Consider the following 13,768-nt stretch of genomic DNA (forward strand, 5'->3'; position numbering starts at 1 on the left):
GCTGAAGATATCTTCTTAGTTTAGAAATGAAAGAAGCTTTTAGTGATTAAAGGAGTGTGTCAAAAAGACATGAGAGCTAGCTTGAAGTCCAGATCTCCCATTAGCCAAATTTTGGATAATTTGAACATCAAAAAGAATAAAGACTTCAATGTGTTGCAAAAGAATGAAAAATAAAGATTTTATATTCTACAGTAAAATGCAAAATGAAGAGTTAACCTTAGAATGATAAAAACTCATTACAAGTGACTGTTGCCCTGACATAGAAAGATTAATTCAGGTAAAGACTTTTGCTAGCATTTGTAGAACAACAGGATAGGTGAAATATAATTATCCAGTTTAGCCCTCATGAGGCCCTGTGAGGTCTTATTATTCCCATTAAGGCACACAATAATTAATTTAATCAGTCCAAGATCACATAACTATTAAGTACCAGATTTTTAATCCAGATTTCTCTGGAGATGAGACCTGTCAGTATCTGTATCTAAGGATACAGGTCTTCTGGGCAGTTATGGTGTGGCTTCTCTGTGCAAAGCACGATGACAGATATTAGGGTGAAATAAAAGCAGACTGTATTTTCAAATTTACCTCTGCAAAAAAAGATGATACAGAAAAGAAGGCATGCCAAAGACAGCTCGAGCCAAAATATGAGTAATTAGGGAAATTTTAAACATAGGCACCATCCGAATGGTCACTGTGGCACTGTTGGCCTTATGGACTAAGGAAAATGCACTGCAGAGCAAGGGAGGCAGCAAACTGTGGAGGCCAGTTGTGTGGGGTGTGGTGGAGTGCAGAGAGGACTAGAATATCCTTTTGGGGCCACTGGGTGGGGAGGGGTCTTGAATTTAAAGTCTTACAATTCACCAAAGCTAATGGATATGTGACACTGGGCTCAGACATCATAAATCTGGTGTTTTCAGGTAATGCAGATACTGGCCCCCTGGAAACACAAGACTGGAGCTCAAGCGAGAAAGTACAATTGGAACTAAAATTTGGGAGTCATTGCCAGATGAATGATTGTTGGGTTCTCTGAAAGAGAAAGAGTTCAAGGGCAGAACCTTAGGGCAGTGTCTGAACAGGGGACAAGAAGAAAAGAAAGTCCAGGGCTGGGTGCGGCAACTCATTCCTGTAATCCCAGCACTTTGGGAGGTCAAGGCGGGAGGATCTCTTGAGCCCAGGAGTTTGAGACCAGCCTGGGCAACATAGAAAGACCTCATATCTCCAAAGATTTTTTTTTTTAAGTTACTCAGGTGTGGTGGTGTGCTCCTCTGATCAGAGCTACTCAGGAGGCTAAGGTGGGAGGGTCCCTTGAGCCCAGGAGATTGAAGCAGCTACAGTGAGCCATGATCATGCCACTGCACTCCAGCCTGGGTGACAGAGCAATACCCTGTCTCAAACACAAAACAAACAAAAAAGAAAACAGAGTTCAGGGAGGGAGAAGGGGGCACATGCAAGCAGGCAGCCATGTGCAGAGCTGGGCATCCAGAAGCGGGGGCCCTCCACCTCCTGGGCGAACTCGAAAACCACCACCACAGAACATAAGCTATTGTACTTAGAATTATTCAAAGGCCAGTTGTTATTCTGGAGTTTGCTGGATTAATTTATTTTTTAAAATTTTGCAGATGGACCTTTTTCATCTCTTTGATGACTTCACACGCTATAATTAAACACATTTTGGTTGTGAGCACATTATCAAAGATATTAGAAGCAAAGAAGGGAGGAGAATGAGAATTTTGCAAACTGTTGAAGATAAAAGTTGAGGGCCTTTATTTAGGATGCAGTAATTACCAGTGTTTGAATTTTGGAGGGAGGTATAGAGGTAGAGCAGTTGCTCATAGCTGAATGAGATCTACAGGTATGAACCATAACACAAAGCCATTAATCTTTTAAAAAAAAATGTGTTTTAACTAACGTTGGAACTCTTTCTGATACTCATCTCTCCATGTCCTTGATCTTAACATAAAGTGCAGATGTGACACATTTGTTGGCTGATATATTATAGCTGATATAGAATTGATTGAGAATTACAGAGATCCTCAATTCTCATGGAAAACTGTGAAAGATAGACTCCTGCAACACACTAAGATGGTGCTTCTCAAAGTGTATCCCCAAACAAGCAGCATCCACATCACCTGAGAACTTATCAAAGCAAATTCTCAGGCCCCAACCCAAACCTAGTGAATCACAAACTCTGCAAACAGTGTTTTCAACAGCCCTCCAGGCCATTGTAATGTATGGGAAAGTTTGAAAAGCTGCCCTCGGAGGCCTGGAAGGTATACTGAATTTATGTCACTTCAAGCAGTTTGCTTGTTTTAAGATATCTCTGCTGAAAGTGTCCTGAAGAGGACTGGTTCTTTGAAGGTCTTAGTTATGCTTTTTCTGTGAGTATTTAGAATTAATTAAACGAAATGGCTGCAGATTTTAGCCCCAAAATGGAAAAGTTAATGAAAGTCACAGTGTTGTCTCTTATAAAAATTTTAAATGGGCTGGGAGCGGTGGCTTACACCTGTAATCCCAGCACTTTGGGAGGCCAAGGCGGGCAGATCACGAGGTCAAGAGATCGAGACCATCCTGGCCAACATGGTGAAACCCAATCTCTACTAAAAATACAAAAATTAGCTGGGTGTGGTGGCACGCCCCTATAGTCCCAGCTACTCTGGAGGCTGCGGCAGGAGAATCGCTTGAACCCCGGAGGCAGAGGTTGCAGTGAGCCGAGATCGTGCCACTGCACTCCAGCCTGGTGACAGAGCAAGACTCTGTCTCAAAAAAAAAAAAAAAAAAAAAAATTAAATGGCATTGGTTTCATTTCAGAACAAAAGTAGAGTATTTCATTATTACTGAAATTATAACTTTGCCACTGTCCTTCATAAAAGAAACTGAATAAAATATGTACCATTGGCCGGGTGCAGTGGCTCATGCCTGTAATCTGAGCACTTTGGGAAGCCAAGGTGGGTGGATCACTTGAAGTCAGGAGTTCAAGACCAGCCTGGCCAACATTGTTAAACCCCATTTCTACAAAAATTACAAAAACTAGCTGGGTATAGTGGCATGCCCCTGTAATCCTAGCTACTTGAAAGGCTGAGGCAGGAGAATTGCCTGAATCCGGGAGGCAGAAGTTGCAGTGAGCCGAGATCGTGCCACTGCACTCCAGCCTGGGTGATAGAGCAAGACTCTGTCTCAAAAACAAACAAACAAACAAATACACGCACACACACACACACACACACACATATATATACTGTAATGCTTAATACCTAATTATATATATTATATATTTATGCACACATATAGTATAAAACATTTTTCTGCATTTCAGGTCCAAACTGCTTTGCAGAAACCGCGGTGATCCCTGCTGGCAGAGAAGTGAAGACTGACGAGTGCACCATATGCCACTGTACTTATGAGGAAGGCACATGGAGAATCGAGCGGCAGGCCATGTGCACGAGACATGAATGCAGGCAAATGTAGACGCTTCCCAGAACACAAACTCTGACTTTTTCTAGAACATTTTACTGATGTGAACATTCTAGATGACTCTGGGAACTATCAGTCAAAGAAGACTTTTGATGAGGAATAATGGAAAATTGTTGGTACTTTTCCTTTTCTTGATAACAGTTACTACAACAGAAGGAAATGGATATATTTCAAAACATCAACAAGAACTTTGGGCATAAAATCCTTCTCTAAATAAATGTGCTATTTTCACAGTAAGTACACAAAAGTACACTATTATATATCAAATGTATTTCTATAATCCCTCCATTAGAGAGCTTATATAAGTGTTTTCTATAGATGCAGATTAAAAATGCTGTGTTGTCAACCGTCCTCACCGTGTACCTGCATATCTTTTTCAGTTCTGATTCCATCACCCAGGAATGTTCCCCCTGCACATTTTCACAGGGCAGAGTCACGCATGAATGGATCATAAGATATTAGGACCAATTTCCACTGAAACCCTGTTTAAATTCTATTTAATTACAGACATATCTCTAATGTTGATGTCTACTTCACATAAATATATTTCCTTTTTATAATAATATATGGCTTTTATCTGCTTCATTCTCAGTCACTTGTGAAATGCAGGTGTAAAGATCACTAACTCACACTTTCTCAGTTCTTTCCCCTAAGCTCCTGTATTGTACACCATAGGTAAGCACATACATATATTTCATTCTTATTTACATTATTTTCTCTTCTAAGGATAACTTTAATTCATTCCCTAAACTGAGGAATAAAGTAGGCTGGAAAATTTGCATTACTGTTCCATCAAGCTGAAGCAGACAACAAAATAGGGGAGGAGTCCTTCGATTCTCCTAGGATAGTTAAGGAAAATCAAACTCCTAAACAAGTTTATATACCTGAAATCTAAATGTGCTACAGATAACTCAGCTGTCAGTTCAGTGGAATCATATTTGTCATCAGACTTGAGTCATCTATCCTCCATAAACTACACAGTAAAATCTTGACTGATAACCTTGAATTAGCCACCCTTCACAAGCAGAGTGAGGAAGCAGTTATTTTGTTAAAACAAAGCTGAAGACCAAGTGCACTCCACAACTTTCCTATAGTTATAATTCCAAACCAACTTCTTTTCTCTTCATTTGAACAGAGAACATAAAAAGCCACTGCAAAGTCCTGCTAATCTAATTAATGCATAATAGAAAATAGTTCTACCTTTATCAATCATATCAGCATGCGGTGTGTTGATGAAAGAGGTAATTGGAGTCTTAATAGGTGTAGGATAAAAAAAGCAAAACTATAATCACTATTAATGTCTTTAAAGGATTAAAATATATATAATCATTATTTGAAGCCTCTAAAGGTATTTTTCATATTTTTGTTTATTCTGAAATTTTGCATTAAGAACCTATTAAGTACAAAGCATTGACAACAAGGGAATAAGGCTTGATTTCTTGCCTTCTTGGACTTTCGGTCTCTGGCATAAGAAGTATATGAAATCATAATGTATTGTATTAGGAGCCAAACTAGAGACCAGCAAATGGAGATTAGAAAGCCTTCCTAATGAGAAGATGGAGAACATGAAAAAATCATTATATAAAAAATAATTCAATCATTAAAGACTGAATAACATTCAAGAAAAATGGATACATCTATCATAATTGAAAAATTAAACTATTGTGAACCTTAGTAAGTATAAAGATGCCACTGACTGAGTCATCAAAACACTACATATAGTCATTTAATTTTTGTCTTGTTCATAAAGAACACCTTGAGCCAAAGGAACTACCAGTACATAGATTTCATGAAAATACTCAGGGGAATTATTAGCTAATTGTTCTCAGGTGTAATCAGCTTTCCAAAATTTAACCTTTGTATTAAAGACTGGTAGACATTGGCCATCCCTCCTTTATTCAAGGATGGATTGTTTGAGACACAGTTATTTAAAGTTGTCGTTTTGCTAATAAATGGCCCTAGCCCCCATGGGTAGGTGGGCCATTAGTAACCTCTTCTCTCTCCATCAGGCATGATGCAGTTAGAGACTCAGTCCATGCAGCTCAAAGTCTTCCTGTTTCCCTTAATAATAATTCCTACCAGAATGGATGATGAGCTCTGAAATAATTGCAATGGTGTTTTCAATGCTGTGAGAATTTCAGAAAACCTAGTATTTTGTTGCATATAGAGAGAATGAACCCAGTATCATCTTGGGAAGTTAACTGACTCACTTGCTCTAAACTTAGTTTGACCTGCAGGGTCACCAGCACACACTCCTAAGAGCTAAAGCTCAATGGCTGTTATTACACCAAAGTAACTCCCCTCCCCATCTCTGATTTCAACCCCCTCATTCCTCTCTCCTCATAGAAATAATGCATAAACCAAACACATGGAAGAACTTGGATTTTTGACACTGTATATACTCATTAATAATAATGGCATTATTTGCATTTTTGTCCAAGATCAACTTCTTCTTGCAGTTAGACTTTCACAAATACATAGCTATCTCAGATTGACATTCTATTTTCCTCCCCTCTGTTGTCAGAGAACTCTTTGCTGAGATTGTCAACAACAAACTGTTCTATTCAATAAATAACCTGAATAACTGCCCAATAAAAAAGGAAAGTATAAGTTACTCAATTTCAAAATAATATGGTTTGGAGATAGCACAGAAAAGGGGGCCTCAGAATTCAAGTATAGAAGTTCTGGAAAAGCCATAATCACTAAAATTCAAATAGGCCTGCTCTATAAGTACCTAATAATTGTTAAATGATTTGTTCAAGTTAATAAACTAAATCGTGCTTACAAATGTATTAATGAATTTATTTCAAATTTTCAACCCATATTTAGATCTGAAAGTATAAAGCTACTTATGTAAGCAATAGAATGGTTCTGGAAATTATCTGATGTCTTAGAGGTTTTCAAGTTAAATTCATTCTTTCAGTGATAGGATATTTACTTGTTGGGTGGATTAACAATACTTTTTATTGACATTTCCCAGAAGTCTTGAGAAAAGTCATTTCAAAAACTTGTATTTCATCCCTGCATGCAAGAAGTATTAGATGCACTCCAGTCCAGGCAAGTCCTGCTATAATGTTGCAGCTAGTGCAGATGGAGAGGCACAGTGTCCTTGACATCAAGGGGTCTGTAAGCCTTGAAACTAATTTAGGTTTGATTATAATACTTTTAATCTTTTGATACTTAGAATTTCATCACCTGCTTTGTGCAGTAAAACATGCTAAGAAGAATTATCATGCAGTTTTAAGTTCATAACATCAATAATATGTTTAATAAACTTTCTTCCCTCGTTCTCCAACATAAATGTTGCATTTATATAAGGTTAAAAGTCCTAAAAAATCATAAAATTCAGATGTTTAATTTTTGTTTTTAAGCAGTGAAATGGGTTTTTAAATGTATACATTATCTGAAACTTACAAAATATACACTGTTTCAAACAAGCATTGTTGGAAACTAAATCCATTATTTTAAATGTGGACTATTTAAACATGTAGAAAACAAAATTATAGACATAAACTATGATTTTAAAAATATTAACAATTTGCTAAATTTGCTTCAATGGGCAAGAGATCAATCCTACTTTTCATTGTTATTTTTAATATCATATTTTTCCCCAACATAATGTTATTATGAAGAGTATCAGATGTACAAATAAGCATCATTGGTAAAAACATACATGCTTCTTTGGCCAACATAATTTGTAACTGTCTTACTGAACCTACTTACCTACTATATTTTTTTTCCTCACTAGTAGCATCTGATGGTTGATACAGTCAGTAACTATTCTGAAGAATCAGATTAAGAGAGAACAATTTACTTATTCAGGAATAAGTGCATTTTTACAGTACATATTTTTCACATTTCAGCTGCAACTTCCAAAGATCAGGTTCTCATTGCTCCGTAGCACAGATTAAACAGCCTACTTATGTCATATCCTCACTTCACACCAACTTCTTCAGTCTATTATTTTAGTTTTCTAAATGTAGATCTAGTTTTCAACTGAATTCTTTGAGGATCGCAATCACACACAAAATAACATCCAAACTCCTCAACATGGAAGACTGGTGTCTTCACAATTAGATCATGGACAACACCATGACCCAGGCCCCTGTGGCTGGTGAGACTTCTGGGCCCTGGGTACCACAGACTATACTCTAAACATGGTCTTTACTATCTCAGATCCTGCCCTGAGTGTCCTTTGCAGCATGTTGAGTATTAGCCATTTTCAATGTCCAGTTCAAGTGCCATTGCTGGTAAGGCTTCTGTAGTTCTTATTGGAAGAATTGTCACTCTATGTCCCAGTAATAGTACTAATTTGGTTTCTTATTTTAACATATCATTTAGGAATCATACCATAGTTTGCATAATGGTTAATTTTATGCCTGCTTCTTCTATTATTTACAAATCCCTTTAGTTTGGGCTGTGAAATATTCAATTCCCAAAACATCACCCAATATCTATATGTTAAAGGCTTGTTGAATTGTATTCCATCTATTAGTTCAGAGTTATTTGCTATTCTTGTTTAAGGACAATGTATGTATTAAAGAGCAACTAAAAACTCCCATTACTGTTTGCCAACCCAGTTGTCTTTTGATTTCTCTGTCAACTTACAAGTATCAAATATCTAAGTCACAGAACCCAGAGACACATCAAATACCCCAAATACCCCATGGTAGTTTTCGGATGAACTCTGACAGCTATTGGCCATTTCTGGTGCAAGTCAGAAAAAAATTGCTTTTAGTGTGAAATTTTTGATGCTGAAGAAAGTTGATTGTATTGAAGAGACACTGGCCCTTTATGATAAAGGAAGTCAAGTTTACAGTTTTGATATTTGTTTACTTTCTTATTTCTAATTTTTGGAAAACAATTTTCTTAGACTTTCATTTGTGATATTGATCATTTCTGTGTGTTTTAATCTTTCTACATAACATAATTAAACACCTCAGTAGGTATCTAGTGAACTGATACAATAATGAGCTGAGTCATTTGTACAGAAATATAGTAGCTTCCATAATCTGAATGATAACCATTTAAAAGTGATGGTTGTTGAAATTTTACTGTAGTGTCAAATTTCACTTTAAATTTTGCAAAGCACCTGCTATTCTAGCCTTAACACAAAGATTTGGCTAATTTTTAAATGAACAAATCCCATTGAATATTAAGTGACACTGACAATCACCCTGAAAAGTATTCAGCCAAAGTTTCAATAGAATTAGGAAACTTAAATGAAAATGTGCTCTCAGTGCTTGGCCCATGAGCAGTTTATGATTTAAGACGTGCATACTGTTTAACTCTTTCCTTTAAAGTTCAGAAAAGTACATAAAACCTCTGGCTGACCTATTATATAGGCACAGAATTATCAAAAGCAATCAAAGTATGTACCTAAAGTCAATTTAGTATATTATGAATACAGCCTGATGACTAAACACAATTGCAAATATTGCGACTTTAGTTTTTAATTCAATTTTCAGCAAGTAGAAATATTTCTCAATTTTATTTGGTATCTAATTATATTAAGACCAACATATACATTAAAGTGTATTTAGATGATTAATATTTAATGATCATTATTTTATTTAATGATTAATATTTTCTATTATTTGAATTTCTGTAATTTATGTTTTAGAAAGAACTGTTTCCAAACACATTTTATGGAAAGATTTCATTTTTCCATTCCCTTTACTTTTATATTTACATTGTCAAATAAATACAATTCTATTTTCATTTCTATTAGTTTTCAGGGTTTATTCTTTTCCTAAGCATATAATTCTTATAATGGAAAAAAGTGAAAAGTATCCAGTAAGTAATATACACCTATGAAACTATTAATGTTCTTTATACTACCAAGTAGTTTCATAGTTTTAAAAAGCCATTCTTAAGCAGTCGGTGAATGTATATCATCGGCCAAAAGTTATGCTAGGTTTCCTTCACTTATTATCACATTTAACCTCACAGTTCTCCCAAATTGTGGGTAATGCTATCCCCTTTGTTGCAGAAAAGTAAATATAGGCTCAGGGAAATTTAAAAACTGCCTTAAGATTCAGTCTAGTGAATGAGAGGCTGAGTTAAGAATCCAAATCTGCTTTATATCAGAGCCCGTGATTTGAAGTCTTATCATTTGTGTTTAGGTCAGGGACCTCTAGAAAATAGACAGAAATTTCCAAAATGGTCTTTTACCCCACTCCCCATAAATAAGATAATGAATAGCAACACTGATCCCTAATTCTAGAATATCAATCTTGATACTTGTCAAAGTAAATAGTAGCTCGTCACAAAAATGTTGTAGCCTCCCTAGTCTAAATGCTTATGCTATATTTTGTTTCCTAAATCTAGAGATCTCTTTTTAAAAATAGTATTGAAGCATCAGGTTGTTCAGGTATGATTCTCATATTGAAATTTACAAAATATAACCAAATATTGTGACCCAGTTTTTCTGGAGCCAAGAGAAGTAAACTGCCATTTATTAGGTGATGATTATAGGGCAAACACTACAATTTCAAATTTCATATTCTTTTATCTGATTTATTCATTTTATCAACTCTGCTATATTGATGAAGAAGTCAACATATGGTGGGTAACTTATCCAAATTTCAGTGATGGGCTGGGCGTGGTGGCTCACGCCTATAATCCCAGCACTTTGGGAGGCTGAGGCAGGTGGATCAGGAGTTTGAGGCCAACCTGACCAACATGTGAAACCCCATCTCTACTAAAAATACAAAAAAATTACCTGGGCATGGTGGCACATGCCTGTAATCTACTCGGGAGGCTGAGGCAGGAGAATCCCTTAAACCGAGGGGGTGGAGGTTGCTTGAGCCGAGATCGCGTCACTGCACTCCAGCCTGGGTAACAGAGCAAGACTCTGTTTAAAAAAAAAAAAAAAATCAGTGATGGAACTGAGGCCAAATCTGTCTGGTTCCAAAGCTATCCTACATGGGGCACAGTCAGGACTGGAATGGATAGCTCTACCTGCTTCCAAATATTCTTCCCTGGGGAGCAGCTGTGAGTCTTACTGAATCGATTTATTCATTGCATTCTATGTGTCAACTGCAATTTAGACCTGGGTGATAGAGTCATATATGGTCTTTGGACCCATGAAGCTCTGAGTCAAGGATACCAGCAGATATCCTTAAACTAATAAAAAAAGCGATGGCATCACATGCCATTTTGAACTTTTGCATTAAAGTCATAAACTTACATCAGTATTATGATTTATACTTTTAAGCAAAATTTTGCCATTTTCTGATACATAGTAGCTAGCTAGTGATAAAATTATGAAGTTACCATTGTATGTTCCAATGACATAAAAAACTAAGTGCCTGCTTGGGCTAGTTATACTCTGCAGTATACCCTGGTTTATTGTGAGGATTAAATAAAAAATCCTCACAAACCCCAATTTAATTTAATATAGATTAATTATAAAAATAATCTACCCATGTTACATAATGTTAAATCTGTAGTTTCAAGGTGTATGCTATTTCTTAAAACAAAAACAAAGATTGTCCCCACTCCAAACAATAACAGCAATGGTGAAGGTTGTGGGTGGACAGAGGTAGTCCCACTCATCCCCAGGGGGCTCAGCTGCCACCGGCCAGGTCTATCTATTGCTCCCACCTGCTCTGACTGTTTTCTCTCAAGAAAAAGATTTTCATTTTAAGATAGGCATCAGTGCAATAAAGGAGCTTGATACAAAAATCATTATGTTCTATATATGTTTTTGTAGGTTTTAGATTAATTATGGCCAACTGATACCTTAAAATATTTGTTACAAATAACACTGAAGTGAGATTCAAAATTGTGCCTTCTATTGAAGCCAAGAAAGTAAATGTCTTTAAAATAAACATAATGGTGTTTTTTTTTGGTACAATAAACAGCATACCTACATTTCAGAGGACAAATCATGTTATTATAATAACCAGGAGAGAAAATAAAAGGAGACATTAATTTGGATATGGAAGCAAAATGGAACAGAGCAATATAGAGCAAAACAGAGGTTTGTCTGAAACATTTAAAATATTAAGAAGTATGACTAAAAAACTCAAACATTTTAATACACGATGAATCCTTTTCTTAAGGAAAAAATGAAAATAATAAAAGTGGTATTTGGATGAGATAATTTTCCTTTAAATTTATTCCTCAGAATGATGTAAATTTTCCAGCTGGAAGGTCATCTTTCTATACATGCATGCATCTATACAAATGGTTAAACAGTTACTCTCTCAATTTGCTGTGATAGGAAAGGTGGATATAAATATAAGCAAGGGTCTGATTAAAACAAAACAAAACAAACAAAAGACAAGAGAAGCACTGCATTGTTGGCAAGAAATTCCTTTTAAGTCAGACTTAAGTCCACGGAAAGCTGGACCTAAGCAGTGAAGGATGTAAGGGAACAGAGAGAGACTCTGCTTGGCCGAGTTTGCTATTCTCATTTGTCTATGTCAATACGGCTACATAAAGTTCACAACTATTTGCACATAGCTATAAATATAGCATGAATAAAACACATATGTATTTAATTGTGTTATTTACTATTTATAATTTGAATTGTTTAAAATAATTTTAAATACTTATTCCATAAACTCAGTATTTGAAAACTTAAAAAAAAAGTCATTTTAAATAACATCATTTACCAAGTCTGTGTGATGCTTTACAAGGTACCTGATGAATGTAAAATTATAGCTTTTTGTCTTCATTTCTAATAGACTGTTATAGGGGAAATGTACTAAAATGTTGTACTTATTACATTTATGAATTTCTGACAGTTTCTATAGACTGAGAATAATGATATGCTTTTATAAATTATTTGGTGAAAGTTTTCCAGTAAGTGTTCATGTCCTGTACAAATTTATTAAACAACATCAATTTTACCTAACAACTGTAACCACTAATAAATCATCAGTCACCACCTTTCCTGCATATCTGACAGATGGAGAACACTGTGCTTAGTGTTGAAGATACCAAAGGGAATTCAAGTGAGGGGAAAAGAGGAGAGCAAACTGATCAAAAGGGAATGCCCATGATGCTTTCAGGAAACCAGGGTGAGAACATGCTGGCTGGAGGATGGGTCTGGTTTCCAGCAGAGATGATAGGAGTTAAAAGGCATAGGTGAGTTGTTCCCATCCCTGGCCTGAGCCTTACTCCATAGCTATAGAGACATAGTCTCTAGAAACAAAGGCCAGAGCATCCTTTTAACATTTATATCATAAGTATTCTCAATAAACGTTTGCAATTTATTTGCTTTAATGTAACTTGGCAGTAAAGACTTTGGCCTTTGGAGGTCTGATTCTAATCCCAGTTCTACCACTTACTGGTTATTTATCAGGTACACGTTACCTACCTCTCTGTAACTCAGATTGCTCATCAGTAACATGGGGAGAGTGGTATCAACCACTAAGAGGATTAAATGAGTGAATATTTGTAAAACACGTAGCCTAGAATAGATATTTATAAAGCACAAGATCTATGTAAAGTGTTTATAACATAATACATTGGAATATGAGACTTGAACATTTTGAAGATTCTAATAAATGAATAATTTAATTTAGTGCTCATTTGAAAAATATTTTATCCTCATGTTTACATTTAACACATATAATTTATATCTTAGTTTTTATCCCATTTATATATATATTTACCAGAAAAATGTTTTGTAATACCTTAATTTTATGTGGAGTTGAATTTAAATAATTAGGCCGAATTTGTATGTATTGTTGGATGGGTATGTGTATTGACCTGATTTATAAAATAAAGTATTTATTAAACTGAGTTTTGCACTTCCAGGTAGAGTCACATTTAAGATAATCCTTTGAAATATTTTAGCTTTTGAAAGTAGATTAAGCAAGATAAATAAAATGTATATACGTCATTAAAAATACTTAAAATGCTTTAAATATTTTGAGTTATTTAAAATATAATCCTTGAGGCTCACTCAAATATGTAACTTTTATTTCTCTTATTTAATGAAAGATGGACACTGCTGTACCCTGAAGTAGCATCTATAATATAATATCCCACGGAATTGACTGTGATAATACATTTCTGCTTTGTCATTTCTAAAAGTAAATGTAATGATTATGAAACCTCATATCGAGAAATATGGACTAACAGTAAGTAAATATCTTAGATTCAGATTTCTTTTTTTAATGGAAACACTCTAGAGGCTCCTCTGCGCTGGCTTGGAGAAAGGCTTTTTAAAAAATAAATTAAAACCAAAAAGTATTTTTTCTTAAGGCTACGAACTTCCCATTCCGGAACTGGAAGATTAGGCAATTTAGAACAATCCTTCTGCCAAGGGCAACTGGAA

General features: G+C 35.5%; 2 protein-coding genes across 12 annotated transcripts in view; one reads left to right on the plus strand and one right to left on the minus strand.

The window, feature by feature from the left end:
• VWC2 (von Willebrand factor C domain containing 2) overlaps nt 1-13,485 on the plus strand; it is a 148,568-nt gene extending 135,083 nt beyond the window's left edge. Inside the window, exons 3-5 of one of the 5 annotated variants that reach the window (XR_001744720.2) lie at nt 3,314-3,704; nt 12,392-12,570; nt 13,432-13,485. Coding sequence is in view for 1 of the 5 variants with exons in the window: in NM_198570.5 (NP_940972.2) it covers nt 3,314-3,465 (152 nt within the window). In the remaining 4 variants the exon portion in view is untranslated. Of the gene's footprint in view, nt 1-3,313; nt 13,231-13,431 lie in introns of those variants that run through there. The other 4 variants (XR_001744721.2, NR_136188.1, XR_001744723.2 and 1 more) reach the window with 4 other exon arrangements.
• ZPBP (zona pellucida binding protein) overlaps nt 1-13,768 on the minus strand; it is a 252,593-nt gene that overhangs the window by 68,067 nt on the left and 170,758 nt on the right. The window lies entirely within an intron of this gene.

The sequence above is a fragment of the Homo sapiens genome, chromosome 7, assembly GCF_000001405.40.
Source record: "Homo sapiens chromosome 7, GRCh38.p14 Primary Assembly".
In the NCBI taxonomy this organism is placed as follows: Eukaryota; Metazoa; Chordata; class Mammalia; order Primates; family Hominidae; genus Homo; species Homo sapiens.